At 33.5% G+C, this 19,703-nt stretch overlaps 1 long non-coding RNA gene across 3 annotated transcripts in view, besides 1 other annotated feature; it reads left to right on the top strand.

Moving 5' to 3' along the window:
• The window catches only part of LOC105374557 (uncharacterized), a 485,690-nt gene that overhangs the window by 11,482 nt on the left and 454,505 nt on the right, over positions 1-19,703 (top strand). The window lies entirely within an intron of this gene.
• Positions 3,891-4,107: a silencer, noted in NCBI's record as "fragment chr4:28134504-28134720 (GRCh37/hg19 assembly coordinates)". NCBI's record gives its function as "represses an EF-1alpha promoter that drives an FKBP-Casp9 reporter gene in an ReSE screen in HepG2 liver carcinoma cells {active_cell/tissue: HepG2}" and the evidence as "EXISTENCE:reporter gene assay evidence [ECO:0000049][PMID:32094911]".

Consider the following 19,703-nt stretch of genomic DNA (forward strand, 5'->3'; position numbering starts at 1 on the left):
AATACAAATTATATCCACAGAATAACTTTATGTGTTCACCTTAATGACCAAGATTTTAAATAAACTATCAATATCAAATATGGGCAAGGGTGTGGAACAATGGGAATTCTCATATATTGCTTATGTTAATATGAAATAGAGCAACTGAAAAGGTTTGGCTGTGTCCTCACCCAAATCTCACCTTGATTTGTAGTTTCCATAATCCCCACATGTGGTGGGAGGGACCCAGTGGGATGTAATTGAATCATGGAGGTGACTTCCCCCGTGGTATTCTTGTGATAGTGAGCAGGATCTCACAAGATCTCATGGTTTTATAATGGGTTTCCCCTTTCACTTGACTTTCATTCTTCTCCTTCCTGCTGCCATGTGAAGAAGGATGCATTTGCTTTCTCTTTTGCCACGATTGTAAGTTTCCTGAGTCCTCACCAGCCCTGTGAAACCGTGAGTCAGTTAAACTTCTTTTCTTTATCAATTACTCAGTCTCAGGCAGCTCCTTTTTTATTCCAATAATCACTTTATTTTTTAAATTTCATCTTTTAATCCTCAAAACACTTTTACGTATTAGAGTCAACCTCTTAAGTAGCATTTCTTAAGTTACTCTCGTACAGGTGGTATTTGTTTACATGAGTAAGTTCTTTAGTGGTGATTTGTTAGATTTTTGGTGTACCCATCATAAAAAGGAGCCCACATAGCCAAAGCAAGACTAAGCAAAAAAACAAATCTGAAGGCATCACATTACTTGATTTCAAACTCTATTATAAGGTCATAGTGTCACCAAAACAGCATGGTACTGGTCTAAAAATGGCACATAGACCAATGGAACAATATAGGGAACACAGATATAAACCCAAATACTTACAGCCAACTGATCTTTGACAAAGCAAGCCAAAACATAAAGTGGGGGAAGGACCCCCTTTTCAACAAATGGTGCTGGGATAATTGGCAAGCCACATGTAGGAGAACAAAACTGGATGCTCATCTCTCACCTTATACAAAAATCAGCTCAAGATGGATTAAGTATTTAAACTAAGAACTGAAACTATAAAAATTCTAGAAGATAACATTGGAAAAACCCTTCTAGACATTGGTTTAGGCAAGGATTTCATGACAAGAACCCAAAAGCAAATGCAATAAAATCAAAGATAAATAACTGCGACCTAATTAAAGAGCTTTTGCATGGCAAAAGGAACAGTCAACAGGGTAAACAGACGAACCACAGAGTGGGAGAAAATCTTCACAATCTATACATCTGACAAAGGACAAATAACCAGAATCTACAATGAACTCAAATCAGTAAGAAAAATACAAACAATCCCATCAAAAAGTGGACTTAGGACATGGATAGACAATTCTCAAAAGAAGATACACAAATGGCCAACAAACATATGAAACAATGTTCAACATTGGGCAGTTCTTTATACCAGCATGAGAATGGACTAATACAGCGACTATTCTATAAAATGCTTGGCAGTTTCCTATAAAGTTGAACGTGCAGTTGAACATATAAAAAAGTAAATAAATGAATAAATAAAGCCCTTCCCTACCCTTTGACCTAGCAATTATATTCCTCAGGATTTATCCAAGAAATATTAAAATATGTCTACAAAAGGCCGGGCTCAGTGGCTAACGCCTGTAATCCCAGCACTTTGGGAGGCTGAGGCGGGTGGATCACGAGGTCAGGAGTTTGAGACCAGCCTGGCCAATATGGTGAAATTCCATCTCTACTAAAAATACAAAAATTAGCGAGGTGTAGTGGCATGTGCCTGTAGTCCCAGCTACTTGGGAGGCTGAGACAGAATAATTGCTTGAACCCAGGAGGCGGAGATTGCAGTGAGCCAAGATTGTGCCATTGCACTACAGCTGTAAATACAAAATTCAATCTACAGCAGGATAGATACACACTGTGCATCAAATTCGTACAATGAAATACTACTCATCAATAAAAAGAAGAAAAACTGATTTCTTTACTATTTGTAAATCTCATAGATAATTTGATGAACAAAATAAGCCAAAGACAAGAAAGTACATATGATAAGATTTCCCTTATACGAAGTTCTAAAGTATTCAAAACTAATTTATAGTGAAAAGATAATCTAACTGTGGTTGCCTAGGGTTTGCGGGGGTATAGGGAGATATAATTTACCCCTATGGCAAATGAGAGAGTTCTTTGGTTTGAAGGAAATTTTCTATATCTTATTATTGTTATTCATTGCACGAGTATATTCACTTGTTAAAACTCATTAAACTCAGTGAATTTCAATGTGTGTAAAGAAGTAGACAGGTAGTAAACTCTAGTTAATATATTGAAAATAATGAAATCCATGTTTCTCACTGCTGAGAGAGTTTCAGTATTGGAAAGGGGAAAACTAATATATACTATGTGATGTTGGATTGAAAATATCAATATTTATTTACATCATATATATTTGTGTGTGTGTGTGTGTGTGTGTGTGTGTGTGACAGAGAGAGAGAAAGAGAGACAGAAAGAGAGGGAGAGAGAGAAGGGAGAAAGAAGAAGAGGAAAGGCAGGAGAGAAAAAAAAGAATAAGCACACCCAGCATTCATATTTAAATACCATTTCCCACTAAAAGGATCCATGGCTTAATGGAGAAATGGTTACCATTTTCAGGGCTAGAAAAGAGCAATATAAGCCTGGAGCATCTTGTTGCATTGAGGAAGATGAGCTCAAAGAATTAGGGAAATATGTCAAAATGCACAAGTCAGTTTGACAGGGCTCCCTCTTGTCATATTCAAAGTAAATATTGAAAGGATTGGATTGAAATAACTCAATAAAGTAATAAATCATAAACCCATACTCATAGAAGTAAATAAATGAATAAATAAATAAAGCCCTTCCCTACACTAGAGTGCCAAATAATAAGCATAGCAGAAATGATATATTTGAAATTAACAGTGGATGCTAAACTTACAGGGTAGTTGTTGATTGGAAAGACATTGTTTCAAAGTATCTCCAAAAATCTACTCATTAACTTCAAAGGAAAAAGTGTAATAATATCATTCAATAATGTAGGTAATACCACCTGAACCAAAATAACAAACATAGCATAATCAAAATTGGGACAAACAAAATTGTGTCTAATAAGAAACTCAGAGAAAGACAAAACATCATTACTTCTGTTAATCTAATCATGAGGAGGCACTGGACAGACCTAAGGTGGGAGATAGTCTACAAAATAACCAGGCCTGTCCTCTTAAAAAATGTTAAACTCAATACATAGAAAGAAAGACTGAAATATGACAATTAAATACAATATGCAATTGTGGAATTTGTTTCTGGAAAAGAAAAATAGCTATAAAATACATTATTATGAAACTTCATTGAATATAATATTGTCTGTAGATCGGATAATTTCCTTATTTTTCCTAGTATTTAAAATTTTTCCGTGGTTTTGTAAGAAATTGTATAATTTCTTAAGAAATATGAACTAAATTATTTAAGGTTAAAGAATCAGAATACTTTCAGCTTACTATAAGATACATACAAAATCTGTATGTATAAAATTAATACACTATAAGATACATACAAAATCCTGTATGTGTAAAATTAATACACAGATATGTAAATGGTCTAAAATGAAACAAGCATTGCATTTGGATAAAGGGTATATAAGACTTCCTGACACGATTCTAGCAACTTTCCTGTAAATTTGAAGCTATTTCAAAATATAAACTATGCCCCCTGTGATGGTTAATATTAAGGATCAACTTGATTGAAGAATTCAAAGTACTGTTCCGGGGTGTATCTGTGAGGGTGTTACCAAAGGAGATTAACATTTGAGTTAGTGGGCTGGGAGAGGCAGACCCACCCTCAATCCAGTTAGGCACCATATAATCAGCTGCCAGCCCAGCTAGAATAAAGCAGGCAGAAGAACATGAAAGGACTTGACTTGCTGATTCTTCTGGCCTTCATTTTTCTCCTGTGCTGGATGCTTCCTGCCTTCGAACATCAGACTCCAAGTTCTTCAGCTTTTGGACTCTTGGACTTACATCAATGGTTTGCCAGGGGCTCTTGAGCCTTTGACCACAGACTGAAGGCTTCACTGTCTGCTTCCTACTTTTGAGGTTTTGGGACGCAAACTAATCCACCACTGGCTTCCTTGCTGTTCACCTTGCAGACAACCTACCGTGGGACTTCATCTTGTGATGGTGTGAGTTAATATTCCTTCATAAACTCCCTTTTATTCCTTAATAAACTCCCTTTCATATATACAAGTATCCTATTATTTCTGATACTCTAGAGAAACCCAGACTAATGCTCCCCCTCCAAAAAAAGAAAAAAAAAGAAACCTGGTATAATCTCAGATCCCCTTCCCCACTCCACAGTCAAGGAGGGTGCTCTCCCATCTCCTACCTACTCACCCTTGACAGGATACTTGAGAATTATTCTCTTGCCTAGGTAAAACAGTATCTGTAGATCGGGAAACACAGACCTGACTTATCATAGGTAGCATAGTGTAAACTGGAAATAAATGAGAATTTACTTGATGAAGATGGAGACTCCATTATCATTTCATTCATACCAGCCTTCTTCCTCATTTTGCTTTCAAAATGCTAGCATATAGGTGGAAGGGTGAATCTAGTCTCTCTTCACCAGAATCAAAATTTAAGAATTGGTGATTATAGAGATCTCTGACATAATCCCAAGGTTTTGTTCACATTGGAGCACTGTAAGGCTGAGTAAAACCTTTCTCCAGCCTTTCCCATCTCAATTAGTAACAACCGCATTATTGAAGTTTCACCTGCCCAAACCTCGAGCACCATCATTGACTCTTTTCTTTCCCCACCACACATGTTATCCATCAGTAGATCCTGTGAGTTTCAGGCTTTTTCAACTTTTGTCTTTTTGGAATGCATTGCTTTTCCTCAGTTATTCCTTTCCCCATCCAAAAGAAATGGGTGTAGCTTCATCTATTCTGCATTTTTACTTAGCAATTTTTACCTTATAACTTAACAATATGAAATTTTTATTTCTTATGTTTAAGGTATGTCCCTGTCATTTAATTTAAGCTACAAAGAGTCAGGAGTGTTTTTACTTAACTGTTAATTAATGTATCTTGAGTGCATTGAATAATTCTGTTGACACAGTAAACGCTTAGTATTTGTGGAATAAATGTTTCTTTTCTACACAATTCTAATTTAAGGAACACCTATTCCATTTGAATCTAAATTATTAGATTTACTGAAAAATAAGGTTTTAGTAAGATGTTTATACTTGGACTAACATTTTGGGCTTTAAACTATTGCTGTTATTTATTTATCATTTTTGTATTTGTTAATCTTTGTGCCAAAATGTTTACAATTAATCTTCCAAACAACTTTACATTATCGTAACAATTTTATGTATGAAACAAATCTAGGCTCTTAGACGTTAAGCAAATTGCCCAAGGACACAAAGTCAAGAAATTAATAACTTTTTAAAAACTTTTTATATGAATACAATTTACATACATAAAACTGGAGAATCATAAGTATAAAGCTAGATTAATTGTTGTGAAATAAATATACTCATCGAAGCACAACCTAAGACAAGAAAAACAATTGGATAAAAAACTGCTACTGTGATTCCTTGTTTAAAATCTCTACTTCTCTACTCTCCAAAGACAACCACTATCTCTTAGCACCGTGGATACTTTTCCATATTTTTGAAATTTATATAAATGAAATCAGATATATATTGTTTTGTGCCTTGATTTCATTTAACACTATATTTATAATCACTGACTAATACTCTATTTGTATTGCTATACGACAGGTTGTTTATCCATTCACCTATTGAAGAACATCTCAGATGCTTTCAGATTTTGGAATTATGAATAAAACACTATGAATATTTGCATGCAGGTTTTAGTGTGAACCTAAGTTTTTAATAATTGGGTAAATACATAAGACTGTAAATGCTGGATTAAATGGTTTAGCTTTTTAAAAAGCTGCTATACTGTGTTCTAAAGTGGCTAAATCATTTTGCATTGCAAACAGCAATGAAGGTGAATTCCATTTGTCTGCATCACCTGCAGCAATTGATATTGGTTTAAATTTTAGACATTCTAAATGATACATAGTGTTATCACATAGTTGCCTTAATTTGCATTTTCCTCTAAACAAATAATATTGAGCATCTTTCATATGCTTATTTGCAAAAATGTATTTTCTTAGAAAGGGTTTCTGTTCAGATTATTTGCCTCTTAAAATTGTCCTGGTGCCTTCTCTTTTAGAATGTTATTAATTGTTGAATCAATTTTAACAGGTATTAAGTTTTTAATAGATTACTTATTACTATTTTGTGTAAGTTTTGGTAGTTTGTGTCTTTCAAGAAATAACTACTTACATTTCATTTAATTTATGATAATTGTGGACATAGATTTATTCATAGTATTCTTTTATTATTATTTTAATGAATATTTATAGGATATGTTTAATATCTATGGACCACTCTTTCATTTCAAATATTTTCAATTTATGTATTCTCTCTTTTCATTCTCAATTAGCTTGGCTAGAGATTCCTTAATTTTATTGTTCTTTTCAAATAATCAATAAATTGTATTTATTGATTTACTCTATAGTTTTCCTGTTTGCAGTTTTCTTCAATTCTTCCCTGATTTTTATTATTTCTTCTGCTTGATTTCAGCTATAATTACTCTTCTTTCTCTGGAACTTATATGATGGAAGCTTAGGCTATTATGTTTAGATTTTTTTTCTTTTCTAACATATGCATTTAATGTTAATTTCTCACTAAACACATCTTTCATTGCATCCAACAAATTTTGATAAGTTATAGTTCTATTCTGATTTAGTTTGAAATATTTTAATTTCTCTTGACATTTCTTTTATGAATAATATTTAGAAGTGTGTTACTTAACTTCCAAATATTTGGAAATTTTGAGCTATTCTCATTGAATTTTTGTTGTTGTTTAATAACACTCTGCTCTAAAAATGGATATTGTGTAATTTTAAAAAAATATATTTTATATGTTTTATGGCATCAATGTGATCTATCTCAATTATTTATCATGTGATATTGAGAAAAATATGTATTCAGCTGTGGTAAGACAATATTTTATAAATGTCAGTTAGATCAAGTGGATCAGTAGGTCTGTTCAAATCACTTATATCTTTACTAATTTTTTTGCCTGCTTGATCCATCAGTTATTAAAAGAGTGGTATTTATCTACAACTATAATCATGAATATGTCTATTTCTCTTGGTAGTTCTGTCAGATATTGCCTCACATATTTTGATACTGTTTTTATTGGCATACATATTAAGCAGTATTATGCCTTCCTTAAGCACTGGCCTTTTAACATTATGTAATCTCCCTCCTTGTCTCTAATAATAGCCTTTATTCTAGAGTCTACTTTGAAATTAATATAGCTACTCCAACTTTGTTTTTATTAGCAAGCACCAAATGTTTTTCTCCATTCCACTGTATTTAACCTATCTGAGTCTTTATAAAAGTGGGTATCTTGTACAAAATGTATAGTTAGGTTTCTATTTAAGTCCACTTCATGGTCCTTGGCTATTAATGTCTCCCATTTTTGGTGTATTTAGACAATTCACATTTGAAGTGATTATTACTGTATTTAAATTAGTATATATTATTTTTGTAATTGTTTTCCTTTTTCATTTTTGAAGTCTTTATTTCTTTAATTACAAAAACCTAACCTACCCATATAAATCCATAACTACAAAAGCGTATAGAGTCTTCCTCGACTCCAACCCCTCACCTCACACCCTTGATAGAAAAGTTTGATTTGTATACTTTCAAGTGATTTTTCTGTGATGTACCAACAAATAACATCGTGGTGGGGCTTATTGTTTGTACAAGATTACACTACGAGTCTGCAACTTAATTTTTTACTTAGTAATAAGTCCTGGATTCATACAGATAGATCTTTTCTGTTCCTTTTAATACATGCATAATAGTCCTGAGCATGGATATACTATGTCTTTTTAAAAAATCCCTGATTGATTGATTTAGGTTGCTTTCAATATTTTTGGCATTGCAAAAAATTCTGCAATAAATGTATTTGAGCACATAGTGTGCACAGTGACATGAATGTTTCCAAATGAGATGCCTAGAAATGGAGATGCTAGGCATCTCATTTGAGTATGTACATGTTATGCTCTGGTAGATCCTTTGCTCAATGGTTGCACCAATTTCCCCTCACACAAGCAATGGATATGCATGTTCATTTCTCCACATCTTTTCCTAAACTCCATGTTATCATCTCTATGGTTTTTATCAGTCTGATGGACTCAAAAAAATTTTTTTATGGTAGCATCTTGTTTTTGTTTGCATTTTAAAAATTTTTGGTAAGATTAAGTCTCTATGTGGTCCTTGGCTATTAATGTCTCCCATTTTCAATATCTCTAATTATTAAAAAATTATTCTTGCTGTTGATTCTATATCTTACTTTCTATACATTCTACTTATTGATCTTAGTTATGTTTCTGAACTCAAATGAAGTAGGTCTGCTCTAACCACTAAATGGCAGTTCAAATATTTGGAGAGTTCTACCAAATGTCCTTCTAGCCTACCCGTCTTTAGGCTAACATCCTTAACTCCTCTCTCCTATAAGAGTGATTTTGAAATAGTTTGAAATTCTAAGTTCTGCCTTCTGGAATACCCTGGTTGTCAATGTCCCCTTTTAAAACATTTCTTCAGAACTAATTACAGAACAATGGCATATATGTTCTGATAAGTGCTGGGTACAATAGAAACTATCATTTTTTATTATAATAATGTAAGTTTAAGTTTGGAATCCATTTTACTTGAGTGTATAGCCAATTAAACAAAAAAGGTATATTTTTGCATGGTTGACTTTTAAATCTCATTTCTTCCTTTTCCTATTATGCAGTGGATGTTTTTCAGCTTTGGTACAGGTTTTTGTATTTACTCCACTCAGGCAATCATCTACTATTTTTGGATCTTTGTTGGGGCCAATGGATTATTTATTTTTTAGTTATTTTGTGTAGCATATTAGTGACTCTTACCATTTTATCTTTTGTAGCTTTAATAGGCAAATTTTTATTTTAAATATAGTAAGCAGAAAAAGGCCAAACGTAATCTTCCTTCAAAATCTGCATATATCCAGCCTCCTCCACATCCTTTGGATTTGGTCATGGAAGTAGCTCATTCTCATTCTCAGCCCACATTTCTTCATTTAGGCCAGACAGAAATATGGTATGACCTTTTTGGAATGTGATCTAAATAAGCTTAATTTCTGATTTCACTCTCATACCCCAGTCCAATAACTGCCAAATGAAGAAAATAAACCTAATTGAACATAGCTTTCATTGTAATGAAACTGTGCTAGGTCTCTAGTTATCATGACTTTCTATCTCTTTAAAGGGTTACATAAGTTTTTAAAATTTTTTAAAATTTTTTTTATTTCAATGGGTTTTTGGGGAACAGGTGGTGTTTGATTAGATGAGTAAGTTTTTTAGTGGTAATTTCTGAGATTTTGGTGCATCCATCACCAGAGCAGTGTACCCGTACCCAGTGTGTAGCCTTTTAACATTCTATGCAGGAAAATTTGCCAGTGATAATTTTTTTCAATTGCTCTTTGAGAAGGTTTTTATTTCTTCCTTACATTTGAAGAAGAATTTTGCTGGAGGTAGAATTCTAGTTTGGTGAATTTTTTCCAACACTCTAAATATTTTACTCCAGTTTCTTCTTGTTCACCTGGTTTCTGACAAGATGGCCAACATATCCTTATTCCTCTATAGGTAAGATGCTCCCCATACCCCAGCCTTTTCTATGATTTTATCTTTGTCTTTGGTTTTCTGAAGTTTGAATATGATGTAATTAGGGTGTTTTTTGTTAGTTTGGTTTAGATTTTTTACAATTTATTTTATGAATGTTCTCTGAATTTTCTAGATCTGTGGTTTTGGATCTATCATTAGATTTGGAACATTCTGAGCCATTATTACTTCAAATACTACTTTTGCTCCATTCTTTATCTCTTCTTCAGTATTTCAAATGTGTATGCAAAAGATTTGAAATGGTCCCATTGTTTTTGAATTTTTTTGTCTTTGAATTTAAAACTTTCTATTGAACTATCCTCAAGCTAATTTTTCACTCAACCATATGGTCTAATAATGAGCCCATCAAAGTCAATCTTCATTTCTATTTTAGTGCTTTTGATTTGTAGCATTTAAAAAATTTTCTTACAGTTTCTGTTTTTCTCTTTAAAGCATCCATCTGTTTTTTCATGCTGTCTACTTTTACCATTAAATCCCTTAACATACTAACCACAGTTGTTCTAAATTCCCTGTCTGATAATTATAGCAATTTTCTCATATCTTAATCTGGTTTTGATAATTGCCTTTTCTCTTCAGATTGTTTTTTCTTGCCTTTTTTGTCATGTCATTCAATTTTTGGTAAAAGTCAGATATGTTGAATTGAGTAATTGGAACGAGGTAAATACACCTTTACTGTGAGCATTTCTGTTAATTTGATTGTGAGTTGAAATATTTAATGTTTGTTGCAGCCATGGGCACTAGAGGCTTTGAATTATTTTAGTGTGCTTGGTTTTGTTTCTCCTCTTGAATTTGGACTTCCCTAAGTACTTTGCCTTAGAGAGGTACTGTGTTATAAAGCTCAGATGAAGCTCACAGATAGTATCCAAGAGCTCTGTTGGTGGTATTCTTGCACCCAACCCCACACAGAGGATGGAAGCTCTACCCAAGTCATGGCAGGCTCAGGGTACTTGGCTGGGTTGAGTTTAAAATCATAAAATTCTGGTGATAGCGTGGCATAGAAATATGAGCACTGGCCTTGAAGCCACACACTGTTGGGTTTGACACGCAGCTCTGTCATCTACCATCTGAGCAGCCTAAGGCAAATTACTTTAGTCTCTCTGAACATCAATTTCCATAACTGACATAGAAAAATTAAAACGTTCTTTTAAGGTTGTTGTAAGATATTGATGAGACAAAGTATACATGCAAAATGCCTTGCTCAGAAATGTCATTAGTGTTCAATTAATATTATTATTAGTGGATTAATAATTTAATAATTTTATCATATCAGAATCTTTTCTACTTCTTTACATACAGATAATTATAGTTTTATATGGCTTTATCCTCTTCTTTTTAGGTATGTTTGTGTGTGTGTGTGTATATATATGGAAAAAATAACTTTTATTTGAAGAATCTGAACACTTTAAACTGCTTGGGTCCAGAGAGACATTAAAACGAGACAGCAATCACATGCTATGTCCCCTCTTTTTAGCTATATATTGATCTATTGAAACTGCTTGGTACTGCCACAACTAGCTATGAACTAAAATAATAATGCTGCAAGATGGGACTCTGTAATTTGAATATATAAGCACGTCAAGTGATTTTGATGCAGGTGCTCTAAGAAACATTTTGAAATGTCTAGAAACATTAGGGTTCTAATGATGGTGACTGAAATCCTGGAAAGGCTTCTGAGAAGGACTGGGAAGTATTTCAAACAAATTTTGAATATGGAACAGGTACTGTCTGGTTACGATGCTTCAGTATTTCCCTACTGAAAATGTTTTTAGAGTTTAAATACCCTGCCAAATGTTTCCAATGCTTCTACATACTTTGCACTTAAAATTCTTAATAGAAGATACTTAATTTGCTTATATAGAGTGGAAAAGTGGTGGATGGAAAGAAATGTAAAATGGTTTTGCATTCAGTGTTATCCCATAAACAAAGGTAAAATGGAGCAAATTAATGTTTGGGGTTAGAAAGCTTTAAAAATTCAGATATACTTTGTATAGGGTGCAGATGAATAATTTAAGTTTATTAAAGTGGTTCTGCTTTAAAAATGTGTCATTTTGAAGAACATTTTTAATCAATAGTTTATTAAAGCAATATTCTACTGGATATATTTTATCTCTGGAATTTAAATATTAATGTGACATATATTAATCTGTACTATAATACCAATTATAATAAAACACTCCACATAAGGCATTTTCTTACTTTATTATGTCCTATTTCATGAGATAATTTCTCATATCTTCTGATGTTTAAAGCACTATAATTATAAAGTGAATGCTACTCCAAACTATGTATAAAGTGTAGCATCCATAGCCATTGATGTCCCTAGTTTTACGGTTGTGTCTGTGATTGCAACAAAAAGAAATTACGTGGTAGTTTGATGTTTAGTGCAATGTATATTTTTGTTAATTTTAACATCCCCTATGAGAAGCCTCCAGAAAATTAGAGTGGAAAGCTATGATGATTCCTATTATTTTCAAGCTGTACATTCTCTCTTAGAGTAAGAAAGAAGAAATACATTTACACATAACACAGACACCCACACAGCACACACAAACAGCATGCATTAGTAATTTGGGACACTTTTTGCAAGTTAAATATTTTGTTTTGTTTTTCAAAGAGTAACCCAATCCAGTTTGAACAACTCAAAGTACTCATTTAGAAAAAAAAAAAATGGGTGGCAAATAAAGACAATTTAGAATACCTGAAAACTGAGTGTGGATTAAACAAAGAACAGATATGTGGGAGACCTGTAATGTTGGGCTGCTAACCATCAGTATTCAAGGGAAGGAATAATGTGGCCTTCCAGGAACAGAAACATACAAATCTTGGTCCTGCTCCTAACTCTTGCTGCTTCTGCTGTTGATATAGCAATATTGTTAATAACAGCCAACAAATTTTAATGCCTTTTTTTTGGAAAAGACTCATTTTGTTTCCTGTTTTAAATTGATCCCCCAAATTGACCTTTCTCTCACACACACACACACACACACACACACACACACACACAATCACATATCCTATATCACCATTCTTTAACTTGTACTCATTTTCTAAATCTTTAATGATTGGAACAACCCTTCCAGAAACCTTCCGTTACTACCTTAAACTATATTAGATCCTTAGTGATGGGTTTGGCAGCACAATACTCATACTCCATCACAGCACATATGTGCCTATTATTTGTTTTCTCCAGAAGATCATAAAAACTGGATGACGGAGGCTATAGCAAGTTGTCTGGCATATCTGTGGAGCTCAGTAGTTTGTAATTAAATTGAACTCTACACAACAACTACATGAGGCATGTTTTACTCACCATTGATCATAGAAGCAAGGCATGGGCCCAAGTTCACTCAACGCATATGTAAAGGGGGAAGTCCCTGAAAACAAACCTGGTGGTTCTAAATGAAGTTTTCTTTGCCAGTACAGAGTCTGGCCTTTTGAATAGGCACAGATCTGTCCCTCAGTATCTCATTAGAACTTCCTTACATTTACACTGAAATGTCCACTCTTAGAATTCCAGTTCCCGGATTTTTTTTACTTCACTCACTTTTCATTGATTGAGGATTGATTGATTTTTAATATCATGTGTCTTTCATGGGAACTAGCTGGTTTGCTTTTAAATTTTATAGACTTCTCTTTTAGAAGTGCAGGTGCTCCTAAATTCATGGCGCATTACCATCATTGATTCACTCAGCAACATCCTGTATTCATGTATTCTCTTTAATCTCCATCACCCATTCCCTTTATTCCCCCTATCCTAAAAACAATCATCTTGTATATTTATATATTTAATGCATTTTGTCATAAATATGTAATTTGTTTTGTGTTAACTCATATATAAATACATTATTCTCTATTAAAGGTCTCATATGTTGCTTATTTTTTTCATTCAGCAAAAAGCTTTTAAGATCTATCTATTTAGACCATACATATCGATTCTTTTCCACCTGTTGTACAGAACTCCATGATCTATTCTACCATATTTTACCAGTTTACTCCCCTAGTGGTGACACAAGCAGATTATCACCCCTCCACGGCCAATAACACTGCAACTAACATCCTTGAGCATTTATTAAGGATATGTTCCCAAAAGCAGGACTTTTAGACTACAGATAGGCACATACTAAATTTGATGTTCATTTTGAAGAACATTATTTAATCAATACTTTATTAAAACAATACTCTACTTGACATACTTTATTTCTGGAATTCTAAATTTTAATATGACAAAAATTAATATGTATTATATTACCAATTATAATAAAATACTCCCCATGAGGCATTGTCTTACTTTATTACGTCCTATTCCACAAGACAATTTCCTGTATCTTCTGATATAAGAGCCAGATTCCTTTTGAGGATGTGACAATGTCTGTACCATTTTACAGTTCTAACAGCAGAATAACTACAGTACATTCTGCCATTTGGAAAAAGAAGAGAGGTAAACTGGTCTACAGAAAATCAAATATTGGCCGGGTGCGGTGACTCACGCCTGTAATCCCAGCACTTTGGGAGACCACGGTGGGCAGGTCACGAGGTCAGGAGATCAAGACCATCCTGGCTAACAAGGTGAAACTCCGTCTTTACTAAAAACACAAAAAATTACCCAGGCATGGTGGCACGCACCTGTAGTCCCAGCTACTCGGGAGGCTGAGGCAGGAGAATGGCATGAACCCGGGAGGTGGAGCTTGCAATGAGCCGAGACCGCACTACTGCACTCCAGCCCAGGCGACAGAGCAAGACTCTATCTAAAAGAAAAAAAAAAAAGAAAAGAAAATCAAATATTATGGGCAGATGTTGCAAATATCCCATTCCACAGGGAAGGGAAATGCTGGATTAAGCCCTGATTCTGCTTCCTGAAAGAAATAACTATTCCATTGAACTCTGTAACCTCTTGCTCCATTTTCTGGAAGATTTCTCTGCATCCTTTAACCTACTCAGAGAATATCTAATTAAGTGAACATTTGGGCACCCAACAGTTATTTTTATTCTCATACAGTGGGCTTGGTTAAATCTTCAACCATGACTAACTTGGAGTTGACAATGCTTGGAGTTATGATTTCTTTGGTAGTACAAATCTCTTACAAGCTTAGTTGGCTTCTAGATATTTGATTCCTGTCAGCTCCATTTGCAAATATCCACATCTGCAAATATCCAGACATTCTTCTTATATTTCATCTATTTCTCTGTTTGCCTGCCCCCAGGCTTCTGCTCTCTCTCAACTAAATCATAGGCAACTTGGCCACATAAGTAGGAGAACAGCCACACTTTCACTCTGCTTTCTCTGAGCTGCTTTGTCTAATTGGAAGAATCTATTGGATGCCAACTTAGTTTATTAAAGGATCTTATCAATGGTTGTGCAATCCAAACTTTTTTTAGTAATCTTTGCTGGATGACTAGTTTGAATATTTTTTATGTCAAAGATCTGTTTTATTCCATTTTTTAGTGTTTGAGATAAAGAGGCAGTTGGCTTTCCAATCCAAAATATCCCTGAGTTTCTGAATTACACTTCTTTTCTTGCCTGCTTCAAAGTAACCAATCCTTTTCCGAGCTCAGCTTCTTGTAACACCCAGCCACAATGAACATTAAATGCTTCCAGCATTCTTTTCTGCAACCTGTTCCCTCAAGGTACAAGTTAATTAAGGTGACAGTTTTACCAAATGTTTCGCCAATACAGGACTTGCATCAACATCCTTCCAGGCTCCGATAACAGTTTTCTCTTTGTCCATTTCTTGTTTCCTAAGCCAATACCACATGGCTATACTAAGCCATAACCAATGACAGTGACTAAAAAACAATAATGTTAATTTCTTGATCATGTTATATATGCATAGTGAATCCACTAGAGGCTGTGCTCTATGTCCTTATTTCACATTTGAAATGGCAAGAGCAGCCACTACCTGGACCATTACTAATGGTGGTAGCAGAAGAAAAGAAATCTAGGGTCTTGTTCCGGCAATTAAATGTCTGGCCTAGAAGTGACACTTTCTACTTCCTCACAATGTATTGGCTAAAACAAATTCCATGGCCTCACCTGCTCAGAGAACCTGAAAGACAATGGATCCACGTGTTTATAAGGTGGAGAATTGCGACAAAGTAATTGGTGAACAATCTACTACAATTATAAAGTAAGATTTTCTTAGGAATTTTAAGATGGCTTAACTATAAAAATCTATCAGCATATAAGACAGGATTCTGTATAGAACATAGAAGACCCTCTGCTTTCTGTATTAGGTCATTCTTGCACTGCAATACAGAAATACTGGAGACTCGGTAATTTAGAGGAAAAGAGATTTAATTGGCTTACAGTAATGCAGGGTGTACAGGAAGCATGGTGGCATCTGGTTTTGTGGAGGCCTCAGAAAGCTTTTATTCAAGGTGGAAGGTGAAGTGGAAGTTTGCCTTTGCCACATAGTCAAAGCAGGAAACAGAGAGATAATAGGGGCTGGGGGGAGATGCCACACACTTTTAAATAATTGGGTCTCACAATAACTCACTATCATAAAGACAGCACCAAACCATTAGGGATCTGCCGCCATGATCCAAATACCTCCTACCAGGCCCCACTTCCAGAACTGGGGATTGCAATTCAACAAGATATTTAGGCAGGGAGAAATATCCAAGCTCTATCAATTCCAAATATAAAGTTGTTGAATGCTGGAGACTAAAAGCTAATATAATTTTTGAAAGGTCTGATGGAGTAAAGAACAGAGGAGTTTCCACCAAAAGTCACAGCCCACATGATGAAGTCAAGTAATTTTTAAAATAATTTACCTGTGACCTGCTGCTGCAAATCTAAAGAATCACTGGCAATATCTTCTACTTTACTCAAATGCCATTAAGAAGCACCTAATTCTCAATAATCTCTCCTGACAGCTGCTTCAAATACCACATTTGTGCATTGTATGTTTGCAAATATCTACTCAGAACAATACCTCTCTTTTCTTATGCTTTTGACATCTCCTGTGAAGTCTGTTCATAGGCAGCCTTTAACCTACAACACAAGCTAGATGAAGGAGATTCTGGGAAATAACAGATTCTAATTACTCCTTTGTGAGGCAGAAAGGTATCTTAGAAGGGACTAATATTACGCTTTGTTGACAACAGGCAATTCAGCATGTATGTAAAACTATGTGATCATATGACTAGATAGAGAAAAAGCATTTGATGAATACCATCATTCATTCTAATATAAAAAGGAAAAACACCTTAGCCATAAACAATAAAGAACGATCATAGGTAAATTCTATTTATCAGAAAGTCATCAAAAACATCATTCTTAATGGTTAAAAAGTAGAAGCCTTCACATTAAAATAAGAAATAAGAGAGGGATATCCACTGTCATAACAATACAATATTTTACCCAATAGCCTTAACATTCATGCCTTCATGGGTGAATGCTCTAGTCTAAATATCTGTCCCCCACAGGGATTGTTAGTTAGCCTAGTTAACGTTTTCACTTGGATGATTGATGACCATCCGACATTGAACTTGTAAAATAGAACTTTTGATTTGCCTCTAACACTTTTTCTCCCATTGCTCTGGTTCTCTATTGCTGTATAATAAGCCATGCCAATAGCTGTAAGCACACTTACTGATTGACTGATTATTTCATGGTTTTGTGACTCAGATGACTACTCTCAGCTGAGTGTTTTTGCTCAGGAACTCCCACGTGGTTGCAGTCATAGTGTCTGGGGTAAGAGATATTTGAAATATCACCATAGGTATACTTTTAAAGCCCTGTCCATCTTTATGTTTACATTATTCATTTCATCTCATACTTGTAAGTTTGTTGCTCTGATTACAATTATAATTGGCAATTTAATACACATTTCTAATAATATTTAATTATTAATAAATGAGTAACAAGTTTATGATTTGTTATGTTTGTACTGTCATTGATAAAGTAATATCAAATATTTCATTTCTCTTTGCACTATTATAATATCATGACCAATAATTTGTCATTCGTGTCAAGATAATAACTTTTTTCTTAACATATTCAGAAAGTGATACCATATAGGCATATCTTTGAGACATATGTACATATATTTTAATATAAATTTAATGAACAATCTTTACGAAGTGAGCAAAAGAAAGTAAGGTATCATGCATAATCACAGGACATGCTAATGTAAAATATTAAATTTTAGTGCATTTTCTTCCAGGAAAAAGTATGCATGTCTGTCTCTGTGATGAGATACATAATTTTAAAAATTACAATAACATTTGACAGTTTGTATTATGTTCTCATTTTAATAAATTTTATATTTTATTATGTGATAATTTGTTCTAAATAATGCATAAAATTATATTGTATTATTGCCGTTCTTTTATTTTGGTGTTATTTACTCAACTATTTCTTTAATAATGGACATTGTTTCTGATCCCATGGTTTTGCTACCATTAATAATGCTACAATTCACATTTTCATGAATAATTCATTGTGAGCATTTCTGATTATTTCCTTAGGATATAGTTCTAAAAATGGAATAATTGGCTCAAAGTGTATGGGTATTTTAATGATCTGGATAAACATTGCCAAGTTGCCCTCCAGAAAGTTTACATATATTTGTATTCCCACAAGCAGTATATCAGACTATCCATTTGCATTTCTTTAATTATAAGTCGTGTTGAGTATTTTAACACATTCATTAATAGTTTTAGTTTTTGAGTTTTCTGTATGGGTGAAGTTGGACCAGCTGGTGATTTACTCATTGTCTATTTTTCTTATTTATTTAGTTAAGATTTTAATTTTCTGAGTTATATTTATAGCAAATTGATTTTCAATTGCCATTTGTCTGTTAATATTATTAATATTTTAAAGTTGTAATACTTTAATATACATTTTTTCAAATTTTCACATTTTTTGTTTTACTTTTATCTTCCTGTCACTTATAATTATTTCTATATCATGATATTATATATTTAGTTACATTTTTTGTTCATTTTTATGTTGTTAATTTTTATTTTATCAAATTAACATATATTTCATTTTATATTAAATTTCTCTGTAACTTACTATTGGTTATATTATTATTATTATTATTATTATTATTTTGAAATGGAGTCTCACTCTGTCACGCAGGCTGGAGAGCAGTGGCCCAATCTCGGCACACTGCAGCCTCTGCTGCCTGGGTTCAATGACCCTTGTTTGAAACATTGATATGATTTATCAAGACATTAAGGGTTTTTCTATGGATCCTTATTAGGGACACATTTATAATTGTATCTGTGCCAGTTAGGGGTGAACATGGAAGGAAAAATATCAAATATAAAGTTTAAAAAGTTAAAAATATAACTTCTATTATTAATTCACCAAATATGTCTTAAGTATCAGCTTCTACTTTCATCTTGCAAACTACTTGTTGGAAGTTAGGCTCCATATTTGAAACATTTTTAAACTTAGGAGATTACTGATTCTTCTTGACAAAGTTGATTTTGACAAAAAGTGAACATTGTAAAAATCTCCAATATAGATCTGATTTTGAATTACTTAAGTGTAGAATATTATGATTGTAGTCCATTGGCAATATTTCCCATAATATTCTAATATCTAGATGACATCATATTGCATTTCTTCCTTCTCCTCAACCAGATATTGGCTAATAGCTTCCTTCAGACCTTTTCTTTACATACGGTCACATAGAAAATTATTTAGACATGACTGATGCCTAGCAATGACTAATTTACTCATAACATAAAATGATGATGATTATTCAGCAACTGACAGATTAAGGAGAGAGACATAAGCTTAATGAACTGGACTTATTTTATATTAAAATTTGAAAGTATTTTTAAAGATTTGCCTTTAAAAAAGGTATTTTTGAAAAGCCTTTTCATACTTTTAATCCATCATCTTCATTGTTTTACCATGGTCTATGACTTGCCTAGCATTAGCAATTGATCTGCACATACTGTTT

Source organism: Homo sapiens, chromosome 4 (assembly GCF_000001405.40).
Source record: "Homo sapiens chromosome 4, GRCh38.p14 Primary Assembly".
NCBI classification, from domain to species: Eukaryota; Metazoa; Chordata; class Mammalia; order Primates; family Hominidae; genus Homo; species Homo sapiens.